Consider the following 21,746-nt stretch of genomic DNA (forward strand, 5'->3'; position numbering starts at 1 on the left):
TTGTCTTTTCCATCTCCTAGAGGTCACTCAATTCCTTGGCCTCTGACCTCCTTCCTCTATTTTTAGTAGTCAATATTGAATCTTTCTGGCTGTTCTTCCATAGTCATCTTTCTCTTTGACTATAATCATCACATTTAGGGACCTGTGTGATTGGATTGGGCCCACCTGCGTAATACAGGATAATCTTACCTCAATTTCTATAAAGTGATTTTGCCTACAAAGTAATTTTTCCTCTAAATATATTATAATATATTTTGCTCTAAATATATTATAATATATTAACAAGGTCCAGTGATTAAGATGTGGACATCTTTGGGAGATAATTATTCTACTTACCATAGTCATTCAATAATTTTGGTTAAAGGAGGAAAATGTGTGGTTTAGCAAAATTATGCTTGTCCTTCTCCAGTATTTTAGAGACACTGATGTCTCACTTACCTTTCTTTGACCAAAATATCACAGAGGCAATTGATAACTCAGTCAAATCAGAGTAACATTTGCAATTTGTTTTAGTTTGTTCACCTTCCCAGTGTTTTGGAAGAGCAATGTTAAATATCCGAAATAAATCTGACGACATATTTTTCCACATAATTTGACACAAACTGGATTAAAAAAAGGGAATTTAATGGTGCACAAAACTAAAGATATTGACATGATTTCACGCACAAATTGGACCAAGAATTAAATTATATTAAAAGTGTTGCTTTAGATATGTCTTTGATGTAATGATTTTTTTGATGTATGTATTCCTATGTTTATTGCAATAGTAGTCACAGTAGTCTAGATATGGAATCAACCTAAGTATCCATCAACAAATGAATGGACAAAGAAAATGTGGCACACAATGGAGTACTGTTCAGACATAAAAAAGAATCAAATATTGTTATTTGAGACAACATGGATGACCCTTGAGGACATTATGTTAAATGAAATAAGCCAGGCACAGAAAGATAAATACTACATGTTCTCACTCATATGTGGAAACTAAAATGCTTGATCTTTTAGTAGTATAGAGTAAAACATGGTCACTAGAGGCTGGACAGGGTAAGGGACTAGGGGCAACAGAGAGAGGTTAATTAATATACAACATTACAGCTAGATAAGACGAATACTTTCTAGTGTTCTATGGTGTTAATACCATAAGGTTACTAAGTAAACAATAATTTATTGTATTTTTTCAAGTATCTTGAAGAGAGGGTTTTGAATGTTAAGAACACAAAGAAACAAAGATTTGAGGCAGTGGATATACTAATTACCTGATTTGATCATTATGCGTTGTGTACATGTAACAAAATATCACAGCGTACCCCATAAATATGTACAATTCTTAGGTCTCTCTCTGTCTGTGTGTGTCTTTGTGTGTGTATACACAGACACAGACACAAATATATATAACTCTACAGCAAAAAAAAAGAAAAAAAAAGAAAATATGTGTTTTTTTTCCACAACTTGGCCTCCTTTGTGCTAGATCATTTCTCACACAGGCCTTTCCCTGGTGGCTTCAAGAAGCCATAATTGGCTTAAATAATTATGCATTTCCAAGGTAAGATGATCCTTTTGAAGTAGAAAGGGTTTATTTGCACCAAAGTCTAAGAAAACGAAATTCATTCTGACCCACCGTCTCTACTTGAGTCAAATGATTATATTTGAACCAATTTCTGTGCTCAGGAGTATGTGGTCAAAATCACATGACACAGGCATACGTTTAATATATTATGGATGCTATTTCAGACCACTGCAAAAAAGCAATTATCACAAGAAAGTGAGTCATATGAATTTTTTGTTTTCCCAGTGTGTGTAAAAGTTTTGTTTACATTACAGTATAGTTAATTAAGTGTGCAATACCATTATGTCTAAAAAGACAACTTACATATCTTCATTAAAAAGCACTTTATTGCTAAAAAATACTAACAATCATCTTAGCTTCCAGAGAGTTGTGGGTAAACTGTCTTTTCTCCATGTTGATGTCTGCTGACTGATCAAGGTAGTGGTTGCCAAAGGCTGGGGTGGCTGAGACAATTTACTAAAATAAGACAACTATAAAGTTTGCACAAGAATTCATTCTTCCTTTCATGAGAGATTTCTTTGTAGCATGCTATGCTGTTTGCTAGCATCTTAGACACAGAACTTTCTGCAAAATTGAAGTCAGTCCTTTCAAACTCTGCCACTCCTTTATCAACTAACTTTATGGAATATTCTAAATTCTTTGTTGTCATTTCAACAATGTTCACAGCATCTTCACTAGGAGTAGATCCTATCTCAAATAATCATTTTCTTTGCTTATCTATGAGAAGCAACTCCTCATTTGTTCAAGTTCTACCATGAGATTGCAACAATTCAGTCACATCTTCACACTCCATCTCTAATTCTAGTTCTCTTGCTATTTCTACCACATCTGCTGCTACTTTCTTCACTTAAGTCTTGAGAGCCCCCAAAGTCATCATGCGGGTTGGAATCAACTTCTTCCAAACTCCTCTGAATGTTGGTATTTTGATCTCCTATGACATACACATGCTCTTAATGGCATCTGAAAGGGTGAATCTTCTCGAGAAGATTTTCAAAGTTTTTTTCCCCCAGATTTATCAGAGAAATCACTATCTATGGTAACTACAGGCTTATGAAATATATTTCTTAAATAATATGACTTGAAAGTCAAAATTACTCTTTGAACCACAGGCTGCAGAGTGGATGTTATGTTAGCAGGCATGGAAACAACATTAATCTCTTTACATCTTCAGCACGGTTCTTGAGTAACCAAGTGCCATTGTCAATGGGCATTTAGAAACGAATCTTTTTTTGTTTGTTTTTTCCTGAGCAGTAGGTCTCAACAATGAGCTTAAAATATTTAGTAAACCATGATCTAAACAGTTGTGCTGCCATCCAGGCTTTGTTTTTCCATTGATACAGCACAGGCAGAATAGATTTAGCATAATGCTTAAGCACCCTAGAATGTTAAGGTGGTAAATGAGAATTGGCTTCAACTTAAAATCACGAGCTGCGTTAGTTACTGTCAGGAGAGTCAGCCTGTCCTTTGCAGCTTTGAAGCTGGGCATTGACTTCTCCTCTTTAGCAATAAAAGTCCTAAACGACATCTTTTTCCAATAGAAAACTGTTTCATCTAGACTGAAAATCTGTTGTTTACTGAAAGCACCTTCATGAATTATATTAGCTGGAGCTTCTGGATAATTTGCTGCAGCTTCTAAATCAGCACTTACTGGTTTTACTTGTACATCTATGTTAGGGAAAGAGCGTCTTTCCTTAAACCTCATAAATTAACTTATTCTAGCTTCCAACTTTTCTTGTGCAGCTTCTTTACCTCTCTTAACCTTCACAGAATGGATGAGCGTTAGGGCCATGCTCTACACTAAGCTTTGGCTTAAAGACATGTCATGCCTGCTTTGCTCTTCTAGCTAGACCACTAAGACTTTCTTTATATCATTAAAAAGGTTGTTTCACATTCTTATCACTTAGTTGTTTTCTGGAGTAACACTTTTAATTTTCTTCAAGAATTTTATTTTGCATTCACAATACAGCAAATGTTTGCACAAGAGTTGTAGCTTCCAGTCTGTCTTGATTTTTGACATGCCATCCTCACTAAACTTAATCATTTCTAGTTTTTGATTTATAGGGAGAGACATGTAATTCTTCCTTTAACTTGGACACTTAGAGGCCATTGTACAGTCATTGATTTGCCTAATTTCCATATTGCTGTGTCTCAGAGAATAGGGAGGCCTAAGGAGAGAGTGAGAGAAAGAGAGAGAGAGAAATATCCAATCAGTGAAGCAGTCAGAATGCATACAACATTTATCAGTTATGTTTGTCATCTTATATAGACATGGTTTGTGGCACTCCAAAACAATTGCAACAGTAATCAAAGACCACTGATCACAGATTATAATAACAGATATATTATAATGAAAAAGTTTGAATTATTGTAGAAATTACCAAAGTGTGACATGGTCACATGAAGTTTGCACATGCTGTCGAACAAATGGTACCTGCAGACTTACTGGACTCAGGACTACCACAAACATTTGGTTTGTAAATAATGCAATATCTATGAAGCACAATGAAGCAAATAACAATAAAACAAGTGTGCCTTTATATTCTGAAATAGAAACGAATGTTCTCAATACAAATAAATGAAAAACATTTGAGGTGATAGAAATCATGTTAATTATCCCAATTAATCATTATGCATTGTAAACATATACAGAAACACCATACTGGCCTCCTTAAATATGTACAGTTACTATGTGCCAATTAAAATTTTTTTAAAAATTCAAATATTTTTAGTACTCTATTTCAATTCTTCTTTGTTTAGCTATTTTTATTGTGCATTGTATTTTGGTATTTTGTGATTCTATTTTTATTGTGCATTATATTTGACCAATCAAATAGACACACACATTTCTTTAGTGTGTACAATATGCAGCCTTAAGCTATCATACTTGGCTTAGTGTTAATATTTTGTGCATTACATTACCTCATAAGAAATATCAGAACTTGAAACATGATAATTTTGTTTACAAACCACAAGTTTTTTTGGCATATATATATGCCAAATCCACTTTACTTATAAACTCTGAAATACAGAGTAACACTTTTTCTTTAATATAGTCACTTTCTAAATAAAGAAAAAATAAATTTGTAGTTTTCATAGTAATATACATATTTATCAATTTCAATGTCCTTCCATCTCATCATCTATGCAGACTCATGTTTTTGTATGGTTTAATCTGATTTAATTTCTCAGCTTGCAATATTTATTTTGTATTTCCTCTAGTGCACTTGTGCAATCTATTTGCTCAGTTGTCATTAAACTTAAAATGTGTTCATTTTGACATTATGTTAAAGGATATTGATAGAAATAATATTTTCCCAACCCATTAAAATTCATTGGCATATATGTCTCAAGTCTTGGCTCAAACAAAACATTTACAAGACAGAAAGGAAAATTTTTAAAGCAAAACAAAACAAAATCGTCAAGAGAAAATATTTTCATGTTGAAAGAATAATTCTGAGCCTAATTTAGTCTCATTATTTGTGACACAGAACGATTTCAGAAAAACTTTACCTAGTTTGAGATCACTAGAGCTCACATTTAATAAGACAAAGAATCACAATATCATTTAGAATCAATAAAAATATGTTTGAAAATGAAGTTATCGAAGACATTCATTACATGTGACTATAGAACGGTCAGCTCAAAACTATTCTTAAATTTAATGTACTAAAATTAGAACAATTTTCTTTGAACTATTTGGAATTATATAGAAAATAGCTAATTTTCATAAGAAGAATTGTTTGTAACTTTTATTTCAGATTCAGGGAGTACAGGTGAAGGTTTCTTATAAAGGTATATTACATGATACTGAGGCTTGGATTATTACTGAACTCATCACCCAGTTAGTGAGCACAGTATCCAATAGGTAGTTTTTCAGCCCTTGCCCTCCTGCCCTTCCCCTTTCTTGTAGTCCCCAGTGTCTGTTTCCATTTTAATGTTCATTTGTACTCAGTGTTTAGCTCCCACTTACAGGTAAGAACACGTGGTATTTGGTTTTCTATTTCTCTATTAGTTCACTTCAGATAATGGCATCTAGCTGCATTCATGTTGCTGCAAAAAATATGACTTCATTACTTTTTATGGCTGCATAGTAGTCTACTTTTCTTTATCCAATCCACTGCTGATGGACACCTAGGTTGATTCCATGCCTTTGCTATTGTGAATAGTGCTGCAATGAACATACAGGTGTGTGTGTTTTTTTGGTAGAACAATTTATTTCCTAAATACCCAGTGATGGGATTGCTGGGTTAAATGGTAGTTGTATTTTTAGTTCTCATAAGGAGAAATTTTTAAAACTCCCATCAGATATACTCTAACTCTGAGGATCTCAGTAAATTGCACCTGTCTGCAACTGCACAATCCATTTCCTATGACATACATCTAAGGTTACAACAACAAGTTTGTTAAAACAGTAATTGAAGATCCAAGAACAGTTACAATTTGACAAAAAAAAAAAACCTGCTGTTGCTTAACTCAAAGCTTATTTTAAAGATTAAACTTTTTTTACAATAAAAATTTTTAATGAAGGCAAAAACAATACAATATAAAAATGTTGTCTAATCATTAAATTTGGCAAAGAAAAAAGTTCTGACTTATGAGTGAGGGAAAACTCTGAACTTCAGTATAAAAATGTATATAATCTTATTCTCATAAAATAAAATTGTGGCTTTGTGATATATACGGGAATTATTAACTATCAGTATTCTCATCTGTAAGCTCGGCATGATAATAATAGCACATGTTTCCTTATAGCACTGGGGTAAAAGAAATATGATAATTTATGTAAAGTATTTGACTACCTGGGATATAATATTTCACAAAGGTCAGTTTTTAAAATTATTATTTTTGTTGTTATTATATTAGAAATAAGCTGGGAATTCTCAACTACTAAACAAAATCTTGATACACTGAAGACTGAAATTAGAAAAAAGCTGCTACATTAAAATTTAACTAATTTCCTCTTTCCCTGTCTTTAAATTATAGACAACATGTTATTTATGTTGATGGGAAAGATCAATCAACATTAAGTGTTTTCCCTTTAAGAAAGTTTTATTTTTTCCCTTAGGCTTAAAAGGACCCATGAAGTAGAAAAGTATATAAATGGTTGGTTTTGGGAGGGCTCTAACTTGAAGCTGTATGCAGCTTTCAGAAATAGGAACAATTGAGAGCTAAAGGACTCTTTCATCAGAGATTTAGCTGGGAATTTGTGTAATCATGATAGCAAGAACTTAAAAATCTTTTTTTTGGTGGGGGGTTGTAATAATAGCCTAAGACAAATCTCAGAGTTTCAAGACAGAGGCTATTTCATCTTGAGATTATTAAGTATGTGCTTTGAGTTTACAAATTTTATGTAAATAATGAGTACATTTTTTAATTGGATTCTCACTTTGAGGTAAGATAACTAGTGATAATATTTCAATCCTGCATATGACTAAGCTGGTGTCTGACCTACTAAAGTCCTGGCAGTTAAAAGTGACAAAGGCACTACAACCATTTCTGCTTCATTACATGAGAAAACTTATGGAAATGGAAATATTTATAAATTACAACTAGAAGTTACAATTTATTGGGTTTTAGATAATGTGTCAATAATTTTGCTATACATATACATTGAAATCTACATTAGGTGGCTTGAGCTATAATGGAGTCTATGCCACTTTATCACCTAGGAAAACATCTCAAACTTTGAGAACATTTGTTTTTCATCTTCTAAATTATATAACTCAAAGTGGTGTCCAATTGAAGATGATTTCCCAATAGAAGCAAGTAGAAAACCTGTAATAGCATGGTGATTTCATTACCTGTGCTGAGTGTATAGCAGATTCATGATGATGGCTGCAAATGAGATTGATTCCTTGCCCTCGCTCCAAGCAGATGACTTATGGTAATCAGACCATATTTAGGCTTTGTATATTAATGGCAATCAAACAAAAAACTAAAAGAAAACAATGTTTGCACATACTTTAAGGCAAAAATTTCCTATTGTATTCTTTAGAAATTTTGTCATACAGCTTGATGACTTACTAGTATTCCTATAATGCAAACACAACTGCTATTAAAGGATTGGACTCTATATTTCTATAGACCATTGTTTAAAATCTGATCTTATAACTTATCATCTAAACTTGTACAAGATTTTAAACCCCTGTATACTAAGGCTAGGTGAGGCGGCTCATGCCTGTAATCCCAGCACTTTGGGAGGCCGAGGTGGGTGGGTCATCTAAGATCAGGAGTTCATGACCAGCCTAGCCAACATGGTGAAACCCCATCTCCACAAAAATACAAAAATTAGCCGGGCATGATGGCGGGTGCCGGTAATCCCAGCTACTTGGGAGGCTGAGGCGGGAGAATCGCTTGAACCTGGGAGGCAGAGGTTGCAGTGAGCTGAGATTGTGCCATTGCATTCCAGCCTGGGTAACAGAGCAAGACTCCGTCTCAAAAAACAAAACAAAACAAAACAAACAAACAAAAAACCCTGTATACTTCAGTTTCCACATTTGAAATATGCTGAAAATATTACTCATAAAATTAGCCCTATCACTTCGCTTTGTGAATTGAGATTGTGTGTGTTAAAAATAATTTCTCCCTAGTATAGCGTAAGGGCTCAATAAATTTTAGCCATTACTATTGTTATCATCACCACTACCATCATCACAATCATTATAATTATCACCATTATTTAGTGAAGATAATATTTATTTTAGCCTGTCTTCTTAGCAATCAATGGAACAGAAGGATTTCTGCAGTTATAACATCAGCTATTGCTTGGGAAACTGTAATAAACTGATAAAGTTTGAAAATATTTTACAAAGTTGGTCTAAACACTACCTATATCTTTGGAAACGAATTTATCTGTTGGTCAAATTCACTTATTTTATAAAGTCAGTACCATTTTCTCTCTTTGGATTATCTGATGATAATTATTTTTGCAACTATCCAAGATACTTATCATGATTTGCACCTATACTATATCTATGCCCATATTTATATTTTAGGTTTTTATTTATGTACATATCTCTATTCCTATTTTTAAAACAGTATAATAATAGTCTCCTTTCAGATTGTAAGCTCTTTGATAATGAGAGCTCATTAATGTATGTATGTATGTATCTTTATTGATACATAATAATTATACATGGCATGAGATACACATGGTATTTTGATACATGCATACAATGTGCAACAATCAAATCAGGGCATTTAGGATATCTATCACCACAAACATTTATTATTTCTTTGTTTTAGAACATTTCAAATCTTCTAGCTATTTTGAAATATACAATAAATTATTCTTAACTATAGTCACCCTACTGAGCTATCAAACACTAGAACTTATTTCTTCTAACTAACTGTATGTTTGTACCCATTATCCAGCCTCTCTTTATCCTCCCTCTCACCCTTCCCAGCATATGGTTACTATCATTCTACTCTCTACCTGCACAAAGTAATTTTTTTTAGCTTCCACATATGAGGGAGAATATGTGATTTGTTTTTCTGTGCCCGACTTATTTCTTTTGTTTGTTTGTTTGTTTCTGGGGTTTTAAATTTTATTTAATTTATTTAATGTATTTTATTTTATTTTTTCTTTATTATTATACTTTAAGTTTTAGGGTACATGTGCACAACGTGCAGGTTTGTTACATATGTATACATGTGCCATGTGCCTGACTTATTTCAACTAACATAATGACCTCCAGTTTCATCCATGTGCTGCAAGTTACAAGTTTTCATTCTTTTTTATAGCTGAATGGTATTCCATTGCGTACACACACCACAATTTCTTTATCTGTTCATCTGGTGATGGACACTTAGATTGATCCATATCTTGGCTATTGTAAATAATTCTGCAATAAACATGGTGGTGCACATACCCCTTTGATATATTGGTTTCCTTTCCTTTGGATAAATACCCAGTAATGGTACTGTTAGATTGTATGGTAGTTCTATTTTTAGTTCTTTGAGAAAACTCTATAAAGGCTGTATTAATTTACATTCCCACCAAAAGTTTATTAGAGTTCCCTTTTCTCTGCATCCTCACCAGCATTTGTTTTTTTTTTTCTGTCTTTTTGATAATAGCCATTCTAACTAGAGTAAAATGCTATCTTACTGTTATTTTGATTTGCATTTCCCTGATTAGTAATGTTGAGCTTTTATATCCTATAGTCTTTTGGCCATTTCTATGACATCTTTTGAGAAATAGGTATTCAGATCCTTTGCTCACTTTTTAATGGGATTATTTAATTTTTTGTTGTTTGAGTTCCTTGTATATTCTGGATGTTAATCCCTTATTATTATAGATAGATAGTTGCAAATGTCTTTTTCAACTTAACAGGCTGTCTCTTCACTATGTCAGTTGTTCCCTCTGTGAAGAAGTTTTTGAGTTTAATGTAATCTCATTTGTCTATTTTTGTTTTTGTTGCCTATGCTTTTGAAATTTTAGTCATAAAATCTTTCTTTAGACTAATGTTCTGAAGCACTTCCCCTATGTTTTCTTCTAGTACTTCTATAGCTTTAAGTCTTCCATTTATGTATTTAATTCATTTAGGATTGATCTTTGTATATGGTGAAAGCTAGTCTACTATTATTTTTATGTATATAGATATCCAGTTTTCCTGGTACCGTTTTTTGAAGAGGGTATCCTTTCCCTCTAGGTATGTTCTTGGCATTTTCATTGAAATTCAGTTGACTGTAAATATGTGGACTTACGACTGGGTTCTCTGTTCCATTCCATTGGTCTGTGTGTCTGTTTTATACCAAATCTGTGTTGTTTTTGTAACTACAACTTGGTAGTATACCTTGAAGTAAGGTAGTATAATGCCTCCAGCTTTGTTCCTTTTGCTCAAAATTGCTTTGGCTACTTGGAATCTGGCAATTCCATATGCATTTGGAGATTTTTTTTTTCTATGAAGAACATCATTGACATTTTTATAGAATTGCATTGAGTCTGTAGGTTGCTTTTGGTAGTGTTGCCATTTTAACAATATTTAGTTATTTCAGTCCATGAGTATAAGGTATCTTTCCATTTATTTGTATCCTCTTCCATTTCTTTCACCAGTGTTTTATAGTTTTCATTGTAGTGGTCTTTTACTTCCTTGGTTAAATATATTTCTAGGTATTTTTCTGTAGCTACTGTAAGTGGAATTAATGTCTTGATTTCTCTTTCAGCTAGCTCATTACTGATTTTTGTATGCTCTTTTTTTATTTTGCAACTTTACTAAATTTGTTTATCAGTTCTATCAGATTTTTTGGCTTTTTGTTTGTTTTTGACAGGGTCTCACTCTGTCACCTAGACTGGAGTGCAGTGGTGTGATATTGGTCTGCAGCAACCTCCGCCTCCTGGACTCAAATGACCCTCTCACCTCAGCCTCCTGAGTAGCTGGGACTACAAGCACCCTCCACCATGCCCAGCAGCTAATTTTCATATTTTTAGTAGAGACAGGGTTTCACCATGTTGCCCAGGCTGGTCTCAAACTCCAGGGCTCAAGTGAACCATGCGCCTCAGCCTCCCAAAGTGCTGGGATTACAGGCCTGAGCCACTGTGCCAAGCCTCTAAAAGTTCTCAGTGGACTATTCATGTTTTCCTGTATATAAGATCATGGCATATGCAAAGAGGGACAATCTGACTTTCTCTTAGTCAATTTAGATATCTTGTGTTTCATTCTCTTGCCTGATTGCTTTGCCTAGGACTTCCAATATTACCTTGAATAAGAGTGATGAAAGTGGACATTGTTGTAATGTTCCAACAAAGAAGGACACAACAAAAAAATAAACTACAGACCAGTAGACATGATGAACATAGATGCAAAACTCCTCCACAAAATATTAGCAAACCAAATTCAACAAATATAAAAGATAATAAATCATGATTAATTGAGGTTTATCCTATGGATGCAAGGATGGTTCAACATATACAAATCAATAAATGTAATACAACATGCAAACAGAATAAATTTGAATATCTCAATAGATGCAGAAAAAAAATTGAGAAATCTCAGCATCCTTTCATGATAAAAACTCAACAAATTGGGCATAAAAGGAATATACTTCAACATAATAAAGGTCACATATGACAAGCTCATAGCTACTATTATACTAAATGGCTAAAAGCCTTTCCTCTAAAAACTGCAACAAGATGAAGAAATTAATATTTATAGAAACACAGTTTCTGGTACAAAGGTCTTGTGGACAGAAAGTATTCAGTGTTTTCTGAGGTAACTGTAATAAAATAACTATTTCCTGAATTGTAGAAAATTACCAAAGAATGTGCTGAAACGTAAAGACTACTTTGCAATAGATTTTTGGAAAAAGAAAGCCAAAATATGTAGGTTGTTATTAAAAAGCAGATGTTTTAGATCAAATGGCATATTTGTAAACTGGAAAATTAAACTTTTCATAATCTACTTTTTATGGTAATATATTATAAAAACGTAATTCCTATAAAATGTGGCAAAGAATATTTCAAATTTCTTTATTCTCTAGTATTTATATCAGATATTTTGTGGGTGAAGGCAAACTAGAAGCAAAGCAAGTTTATAACAGCTTAGTAACAGTATAAAGGTCATGAGACACAGCACAATAATTTACTGATACTTAGTGGGACAAAAAATACGCTTCACAAGATTCACTTATATTATTTTCATTGTCTTACTGCTATTTTCATCAATCTTCTTCTTATTAAAGTTCCTAAGGCTGAACAAATGAAGAAACAGAAATCACTAATAAGACAACTTCGTCTTTAGAAAAGAGGAGAAATTCCCTCAGGAAATACTTAGATTTTATGTTATGCTATATTATTTCTGACTTAGTTTTATATAAATAGGCCAAATGATGCAATAGATAAATATTTGAAGCTTTAGTTTTGCTTTGAACTCAAATCATAATAACAATCATTTATAAGACATGAAATATCTTTTTCATAAATAAAATGTTTGTATAAGATTTTTTTCCTGACTTTAACAGCCCTATAAAAGTGTTAAAAAGAACACTTTTTTAAAAGAGTTTAGTAATTGTTTAAATCTTTTCTTTTTTTAATATTGAGATTTGGGGAGTTCCATTCCAAGATGGCCGAATAGGAACAGCTCTGTTCTGCAACTCCCAGGGTGATCTATGCAGAAGATGGGTGATTTTTGCTTTTCCAACTGAGGTACCTGGTTCGTTTCATTGGGACTGGGTGGACAGTGGGTGCAGTCCACGGAGGGTAAGCCGAAGCAGGGCAGGGTGTCGCCTCACCCAGGAAGCAGAAGGGGTTGGGGGATTTCCCTTTCCTAGCCAAGGGAAGCCATGACAGTCTGTACCTGGAAAATCGGGACACTTCTGCCCAAATACTGCACTTTTCCCACAGTCTTAGAAAGCAGCAGAACAGGAGATTCTCTCCCATGCCTGGCTCTGCAGTTCCCACACCCATGGAGCCTTGCTAACTGATAGTGCAGCAATCTGAGATTGACCTGCAAGGCTGCAGCCTGGTGGGGGGAGGAGTGTCTGCCATTACTGAGACTTGAGTAGGTAAACAACATGGCCAGGAAGCTCAAACTGGGTGGAGCCCACCGCAGCTCAGCAAGGCATACTGCTTCCATAGACTCCACCTCTGTGGGCAGGGCATAGCTGAATGAAAGGCAGCAGAAACTTCTGCAGACTTTAACGTCCTTGTCTGACAGCTCTGAAGAGAGCAGTTGTTCTCCCAGCACGGTGTTCGAACTCTGAGAATGGACAGACTGCCTCCTCAAATGGGTTCCTGACCTCCGTGTAGCCTAACTGGGACACACTTCCCAGTAGGGGTAGGCAGACACCTCATATGGGTGGATGCCCCTCTGGGACGAAGCTTCCAGAGGAAGGATCAGGTAGAAATATTTGCTGTTCTGTAATATTTGCTGTTCTGCAATATTTGCTATTCTGCAGCCTCTGCTGGTGACACCCAGGAAAACAGGGTCTGGAGTGGGTCTCCAGCAAACTCCAACAGAGCTGCAGCTGGGGGACCTGACTGTTAGAAGGAAAACTAACAAACAGAAAGGAATACCATCAACATCAACAAAAGGGACATCCACACCAAAACCTCATCTCTAGGTCACCAACATCAAAGACCAAAGGTAGATAAAACCACAAAGATGGGGAGAAACCAGAGCAGAAAAGCTGAAAATTTTAAACACCAGAGTGCCTCTTTCTTCAAAGGATCATAGCTCCTCACCAGCAAAGGAACAAAGCTGGATGGAGAATGACTTTGATGAGTTGACAGAAGTAGACTTCAGAAAGTTGGTATAACAAACGTCCAAGCTAAAGGAAGATGTTCGAACCCATCGCAAGAAAGCTAAAAACCTTGAAAAAAGATTAGATGAATGGCTAACTAGAATAAACAGTGTAGAGAAGACCTTAAATGACCGGATGGAGCTGAAAACCATGGTACGAGAACTACATGACTCATGCACAAGCTTCAGTAGCTGATTTGATCAAGTGGAAGAAAGGGTATCAGTGATTGAAGTTCAAATGAATGAAATGAAGTGAGAAGAGAAGTTTAGAGAAAAGAAACAGTAAAAAGAAATGAACAAAGCCTCCAAGAAATATGGAACTATGCTAAAAGACCAAATGTACGTTGGATTGGTGTATCTGAAAGTGATGGGGAGGATAGAACCAAGCTGGAAAACACTCTTCAGTATATTATCCAGGAGAACTTCCCCAATCTAGCAAGGCAGGCCAACATTCAGATTCAGAAAATACAGAGAACACCACAAAGATACTCCTCGAGAAGAGCAACCCCAAGAAACATAATTGTCAGATTCACCAAGGTTGAAAGGAAGGAAAAAATATTAAGGGCAGCCAGAGAGAAAGGTCAGGTTACCCACAAAGGGAAGCCCATCAGACTAACAGCAGATCTCTTGGCAGAAACTCTACAAGCCAGAAGAGAGTGGGGGCCAATATTCAACATTCTCAAAGAAAAGAATTTTCAACCCAGAATTACATATCCCCCCAAACTAAGCTTCATAAGTGAAGGAGAAATAACATCCCTTACAGACAAGCAAATGCTGAGAGATTTTGTCACCACCAGGCCTGCCCTACAGGAGCTCCTGAAGGAAGCACTAAACATGGAAAGGAAAAACCAGTACCAGCCACTGCAAAAACATGCCAAATTGTAAAGACCACTGATGCTAGGAAGAAACCACATCAACTAACAGGAAAAACAACCAGCTAACATTGTAATGATAGGATCAAATTCACACATAACAATATTAACCTTAAATGTAAATGGGCTGAATGCTCCAATTAAAAGACACAGACTGGCAAATTGGATAAAGAGTCAAGACCCATCAGTGTGCTGTATTCAGGAGATCTGTCTCATGTGCAGAGACACACATAGGCTCAAAATAAAGGGATGGAGGAAGATCTACCAAGCAAATGTAAAGCCAAAAAAAAAAAAAAAAAATAGCAGGGGTTGCAATCCTAGTCTCTGATAAAACAGACTTTAAACCAGCAAAGACCAAAAGAGACAAAGAAGGCCATTACATAATGGTAAAGGGATCAATTCAACAAGAAGAACTAACTATCCTAAATATATATGCACCCAATACAGAAGCACTCAGTTTCATAAAGCAATTCCTTAGAGACCTACAATGAGACCTAGACTCCCACACAATAATAATGGGAGACTTTAACACCCCACTGTCAATATTAGACAGATCAATGAGACAGAAGGTTAACAAGGATATCCAGGACTTGAACTCAGCTCTGCACCAAATGGACCTAATAGACAACTACAGAACTGCCTACCCAAAATCAACAGAATATACATTCTTCTCAGGACGACAGTGCACTTATTCCAAAATTAACCACATAATTGGAAGTAAAGCACTCCTCAGCAAATGTAAAAGAACAAAAATCACAACAAACTGTCTCTTAGACCACAGTGCAATCAAATTAGAACTCAGGATTAAGAAACTCACTCAAAATCGCACAACTACATGGAAACTGAACAATCTACTCCTGAATGACTACTGGGTACATAACGAAATTAAGACAGAAATAAAGATGTTCTTTGAAACCAATGAGAACAAAGACACAACGTACCAGAATCTCTGGGACACATTTAAAGAAGTGTGTAGAGGGAAATTTGTAACACTAAATGCCCACAAGAGAAAGTAGGAAAGATCTAAAATCGACACCCTAACATCACAATTAAAAGAACTAGAGAAGCAAGAGCAAACAAATTCAAAAGCTAGCAGAAGGCAAGAAATAACTAAGATCAGAGCAGAACTGAAAGAGATGGGGACACAAAAAACCCTTCAAAAATCAATGAATCCAGGAGCTTGGTTTTTGAGAAAATCAACAAAATTGATAGACTGCTAGCAAGACTAATAAAGAAGAAAAGAGAGAAGAATCAAATAGACACAATAAAAAAATAATAAAGGGGATATCACTATCAACCCCACAGAAATACAAACTACCATCAGAGAATACTATAAACATTTCTACATGAAAAAACTTGAAAATCTAGAAGAAATGGGTAAATTCCTGGACACATATACCCTCCCAAGACTAAAGCAGGAAGAAGTTGAATCTCTGAATAGACCAAAAATAGGCTCTGAAATTGTGGCAATAATTAATAGCCTACCAACCAAAAAAAGTCTAGGACCAGACAGATTCACAGCTGAATTCTACCAGAGGTACAAAGAGGAGATGGTACCATTCCTTCTGAAACTATTCCAATCAATAGAAAAAGAAGGAATCCTTCTTAGCTCATTTTATGATGCCAGCATCATTCTGACACCAAAGCCTGGCACAGACACAACAAAGAGAATTTTAGATCAATATCCCTGATGAACATCAATGTGAAAATCCTCAATAAAATACTGGGAAACTGAATCCAGCAGCACATCTTATTCACCAAGATCAAGTCAGCTTCATTCTTGGGATCCAAGGCTGGTTCAACATACGCAAATCAATAAACGTAATCCATCACATAAATAGAACCAATGACAAAAAGCACATGATTATTTGAATAGATGCAGAAAAGGCCTTCAACAAAATTCAACAGCACTCCATGCTAAAACCTCTCAATAAACTAGGTATTGATGGAACGTATCTCAAAATAATAAGAGCTATTTATGACAAACCCACCGCCATATGAACAATAACTGTAAACATTCCCTTTGAAAACTGGGACAAGACAGGGATGCCCTCTCTCACCACTCCTATTCAACGTAGTGTTGGAAGTTCTGGCCAGGGCAATCAGGCAAGAGAAAGAAATAAAGGGTATTCAATTAGGAAAAGAGGAAGTCAAATTGTCTCTGTTTGCAGATGACATGATTGTATATTTAGAAAACCCCATTGTCTCAGCCCAAAATCTCCTTAAGCTGATAAGCAACTTCAGCAAAGTCTCAGGATACAAAATCAACATGGAAAAATCACAAGCATTCCTAAATACCAATAACAGACAGAGAGCAAAATCATGAGTGAACTCCCATTCACAATCACTACAAAGAGAATAAAATACCTAGGAATCCAACTTACAAGAGATGTGAAGGACCTCTTCAAGGAGAACTACAAACCAAATGGAAGAACATTTCATGCTGATGGATAGGAAAAATCAATATCATGAAAATGGCCATACTGCCCAAGGTAATTTATAGATTCAATGCCATCCCCATCAAGCTACCAATGACTTTCTTCACAGAATTGGAAAAAACTACTTTAAAGTTCATATGGAACCAAAAAAGAGCCCTCATTGCCAAGACAATCCTAAGCCAAAAGAACAAAGCTGGAGGCATCACGCTACCTGACTTCAAACTATACTACAAGGCTACAGTAACCAAAACAGCATGGTACTGGTACTAAAACAGAGATACAGACCAATGGAACAGAACAGAGGCCTCCAAAATAACACCACACATCTACAACCATCTGATCTTTGACAAACCTGACAAAAACAAGAAATGGAGAAAGGATTCCCTATGTAATAAATGGTGCTGGGAAAACTGGCAGGCCATATGTAGAAAGCTGAAACTGGATCCCTTCCTTACACCTTATACAAAAATTAATTCAAGACGGATTAAAGACTTAAATGTTAGACTTAAAACTATAAAAACCCTAGAAGAAAACCTAGGCAATACCATTCAGAACATAGGCATGGACAAGGACTTTATGTCTAAAACACCAAAAGCAATGGCAACAAAAGCCAAAATAGACAAATGGAATCTAATTAAACTAACAAGCTTCTGCACAGCAAAAGAAACTACCATCAGAGTGAACAGGCAACCTACAGAATGGGAGAAAAGTTTTGTCATCTACCCATCTGACAAAGGGCTAATATCCATAATGTACAAAGAACTTAAACAACTTTACAAGAAAAAAACAAGCAACCCCATCAAAAAGTGGGCAAAGGATATGAACAGATACTTCTCAAAAGAAGACATTTATGCATCCAACAGACACAGGAAAAAATGCTCATCATCACTGGTCATCAGAGAAATGCAAATCAAAACCACAATGAGCTATCATCTTATGCTAGTTAAAATGGCAATCATTAAAAAGTCAGGAAACAACAGATGCTGGAGAGGATGTGGAGAAATAGGATTGCTTTTATACTGCTGGTGAGAGTGTAAACTAGTTCAACCATTGTGGAACAGTGTGGCAATTCCTCAAGGATCTAGAACTAGAAATACCATTTGACCCAGCCATCCCATTACTGGGTATATACCCAAAGAATTATAAATCATGCTACTATAAAGACACATGCCCACTTATGTTTGTTGTGGCACTATTCACAATAGCAAAGACTTGGAACCAACCCAAACATCCATCAATGATAGACTGGATTAAGAAAATGTGGCACATATACACCATGGAATACTACACAGCCATAAAAAGGGATGAGTTCATGTCCTTTGCAGGTACATGGATGAAGCTGGAAACATCATTCTCAGCAAACTATCACAAGGCCAGAAAACCAAACACTGCATGTTCTCACTCATAGATGGGAATTGAACAATGAGAACACTTGGACACAGGGAAGGGAAGATCACACACTGGGGCCTGTCAGGGCGTGGGGGCCTGGAGGAGGGATAACATTAGGAGAAATACCTAATGTAAATGATGAGTTGATGGGTGCAGCAAACCAACATGGCACATGTATACATATGTAACAAACCTGCATGGTGTGCACATATACCCTAGAACTTAAAGTATGAAAAAATTGAGATTTGGTATCAGTGTACAAGACACATACAAATAAATTCTCATTTTAAAAAGCTATTCTTCCCATGTCAATATAGATTGTTCTTTGTGGGGTAGACTTTTAAACATTTTTATATTCAAATTCTTTTCCTTTCATCTTTTCCATTCACTTAGCTAATTTAAATATTACTGACTGTTATAGGGACTAATTAAAAGTAAATATCAGAATGTTTAGTCTAAATGTGTCTCTGAATTAAAATCACAGTTAATTTATACAGTCATCTATAATCTATCATAAAATCACATTTTAAAAACTCCTACAGTCATTATTTGGAGTTATAACATTTTTCTTAATAAAAATTTGAAGGTATTATAAATATAATTTAACTATAGCAAAAGATTCTGTTCACATATTGAATACATTATAAAAACCTTAAAGAATCAATTTAAAATTCTTCCTCTTCCTAGTTAAATAAAATACCATGCTTCAATACTCAAAAATGAATGTTCACAGGGCCAGTAACTCAACATGACACTTTATCTGTACCTGGCTGCACCCCACATTTGCCTCCTCTAAACCATGTTTAGTGTCGGCTAAATTGAAAGCAACAAGTCATGGAGGTAGAGATTAAATTCGATATCTCAGAATTCAGGTTGGACGATGAAATTTCGAGTTACCTAAATGTATATAGTTCTGGAGTTTCATAAGTATCCAGTTAAGGCAAACTTTTAAATTGTATAAGACCATAGTAACCATAGAGGGAAAAAGGTAAACCGTTAATGAGAAGAAATAACCTTCCATATATACACCAAATATGAGCACTACACATAAAAATTGAAGAAGGGGCATTTCGGTGGTTTTCCTAAAAGCACAGTGATTACAATGTTAATTTGCCAAATACTAGAAAAAATAGGATTAGATAATAAAAACAGTATACTCCTTAATAAGGAATGTGATAATGCACAAATAACCTGAGTGAAAAAGTAAGCCCTGGTAGATAGACAACTTAAAAGACAGCATAGCATAGTCTTGAGAAAGTTAAATTTGGAGCTTGCACTGATTCATACGAAATTTTCTTAAAGTGTCAGACTACAGTTACTACATGAATAACTGTTGAAAAAAATTGTAGATTTTAGTGATGATATAGATTTTAAATGAGCCTGTTGCTCTGAATATAACAAATGTAGCAAAGTTGATTTAGTGACTGAATGACAGTAATGCTTCTTTATCACAGTGCTGTTTGTTGACTCAAATTAGAGAAAATGTATTTAGAGTGCTTCCAGTGGTTAGCATTTATTTAAAGATTATGACTTTAATCTATAAATGAAAGATGGGTGATACTGAAACAGACTTAAAATACACCTACATATTGTATTTCTTTAAGAAAGAAAGTCCGAATGTAATTTTATGCATAGTTGACTATTAATAAGCTTGTTAATAATTTTCTACATTTTAACATCAATATTTGTCAAGATAAATTATCATTCAGGAACAAATAAACCTCCATCTGTCAGCGATTTCATACAACAGGGTTTATACTGACTTATTAAAAGTCCAATGGGGTAGGCTGGGCGCGGTGGGTCACTCTTGTAATCCCAGCACTTTGGGAGGCCGAGGCAGGAGGATCACAAGGTCAGGAGATCGAGACCATCCTGGCTAACATGGTGAAACCCCGTCTCTAAAAGTACAAAAAAATTAGCCGGGCATTGTGGCGAGCACCTGTAGTCCCAGCTACTCGGGAGGCTGAGGCAGGAGAATGGCATGAACCCGGGAGGCGGAGCTTGCAGAGATCCGAGATCACACCACTGCACTGTAGCCTAGGTGACAGAGCGAGACTCCGTCACAAAACAAAACAAAGCAAAAGTCCAGTGGGACATCCAGGCTATTTTTTCATTCAGTGATTCAGGGAACTGGGCTGGGAGGAGTGCAGAGTATATGGATATTTTGTGAGTTCTAAATATCTCTAGAATATAATCATATTTTGAAAGCCCACGTTTCAAAGAGAATTTTTTTGATTGCTAATCTGGAAGCTTAAGTATAGATGCATTGATGTATGTATCTTGTCAGTGAGTGCTATTGAGTGTTGACTGTGTTTTAGACACTGGCAAGGCACATAAAATGCTGAGCAAAACGCACATTTTACTTGTTCTAAGAAAGCTTACAGTATAGGGTATGCTTTTGGGGGAGAGAATATAAGCAAACAATCAAAGAATCCCACAAAAATATAATTTCAAATTGTGATAAATCTTATTTAATAGCAATGAGGCTCTGTGTAAACATGCAGTGGTGCTTCTATTCTGACATGTAAAAAACAACTACGAAAATGTGCATTTATCTAAAAGCTCAAGAATGAGTGGGAGATGTGTGTTACCATGAAGGACCAGAAAGTCTTGAGAAAAGTGTGAGTAGAACCCTTTGAAGGTTAACTGAATAAATCTCAGCTTATCAAGTGCATTGTAGTCCATCTGAAAGATGGTATATTTGAAAAGCAATAGACAGTATTCCAATTTTATATGTATATATATATATGCACACATAGGTGTGTTTGGTTTTGATCACTCTGCCTCCAGTGAAATTAATTGTGCTTAAAGTTAAGGGGCAAGTGTTGAGTTCAGGAGAGAAACTGACAATAGATTGGATAAGGCTGTTGGCAGTAGGAAATGGAGTTTTGGTTTCAATCGAAAAGAGGAAAACATCAAAGAAAAAAAACCAGAAAGGCTACATCTAGTTGTAGATATTTCATTTGTCATCATATATCTTAGTAGGATACCTGGCAATAAAGGGATGCATGGAGTTACTAAGAAACAGGGAAGTATGTATGTATGTGGAGGGGGCAATGTATAATCTGAAATTAATTCTCTCCGTTCCTGACAATAGGACAATTAAAGAAGTAAATAGCTCTCAACTTTGTTTTTTTTAAGCATCTGTGATTCACTAACATAGGCAGCTTTATGGTTTCATTTGGTAATTTCTCTGGTTTTCTGCTAAAGTAATTATCAATTTAAGTTTACAATTTCTGCA

General features: G+C 35.2%; 2 long non-coding RNA genes across 4 annotated transcripts in view; one reads left to right on the forward strand and one right to left on the reverse strand.

Annotated features, from left to right (window-relative positions):
• Window positions 1-1,875: 1,875 nt before the first annotated feature.
• On the reverse strand, window positions 1,876-20,486 carry LOC105370248 (uncharacterized). 2 transcript variants are annotated; one of them, XR_942044.3, is made up of 4 exons: window positions 20,269-20,462; window positions 7,369-7,502; window positions 5,538-5,617; window positions 1,876-3,732 (listed from the first exon to the last, which is right to left on the reverse strand). It is a non-coding gene; the product is annotated as an uncharacterized LOC105370248 (long non-coding RNA). The 2 variants fall into 2 exon arrangements; XR_942045.3 differs by lacking the exon at window positions 7,369-7,502 and having other exon boundaries at window positions 20,445-20,486.
• Window positions 20,487-20,635: 149 nt separating this feature from the next.
• Window positions 20,636-21,746, forward strand: part of LOC105370249 (uncharacterized) — a 52,794-nt gene continuing 51,683 nt past the window's right edge. For both annotated transcript variants that reach the window (XR_942046.3, XR_942047.2), the window contains exon 1: window positions 20,636-20,671. This is a non-coding gene — a long non-coding RNA (uncharacterized LOC105370249). The remainder of the gene's footprint in view (window positions 20,672-21,746) is intronic.

The sequence above is a fragment of the Homo sapiens genome, chromosome 13 (genome assembly GCF_000001405.40).
Source record: "Homo sapiens chromosome 13, GRCh38.p14 Primary Assembly".
In the NCBI taxonomy this organism is placed as follows: Eukaryota; Metazoa; Chordata; class Mammalia; order Primates; family Hominidae; genus Homo; species Homo sapiens.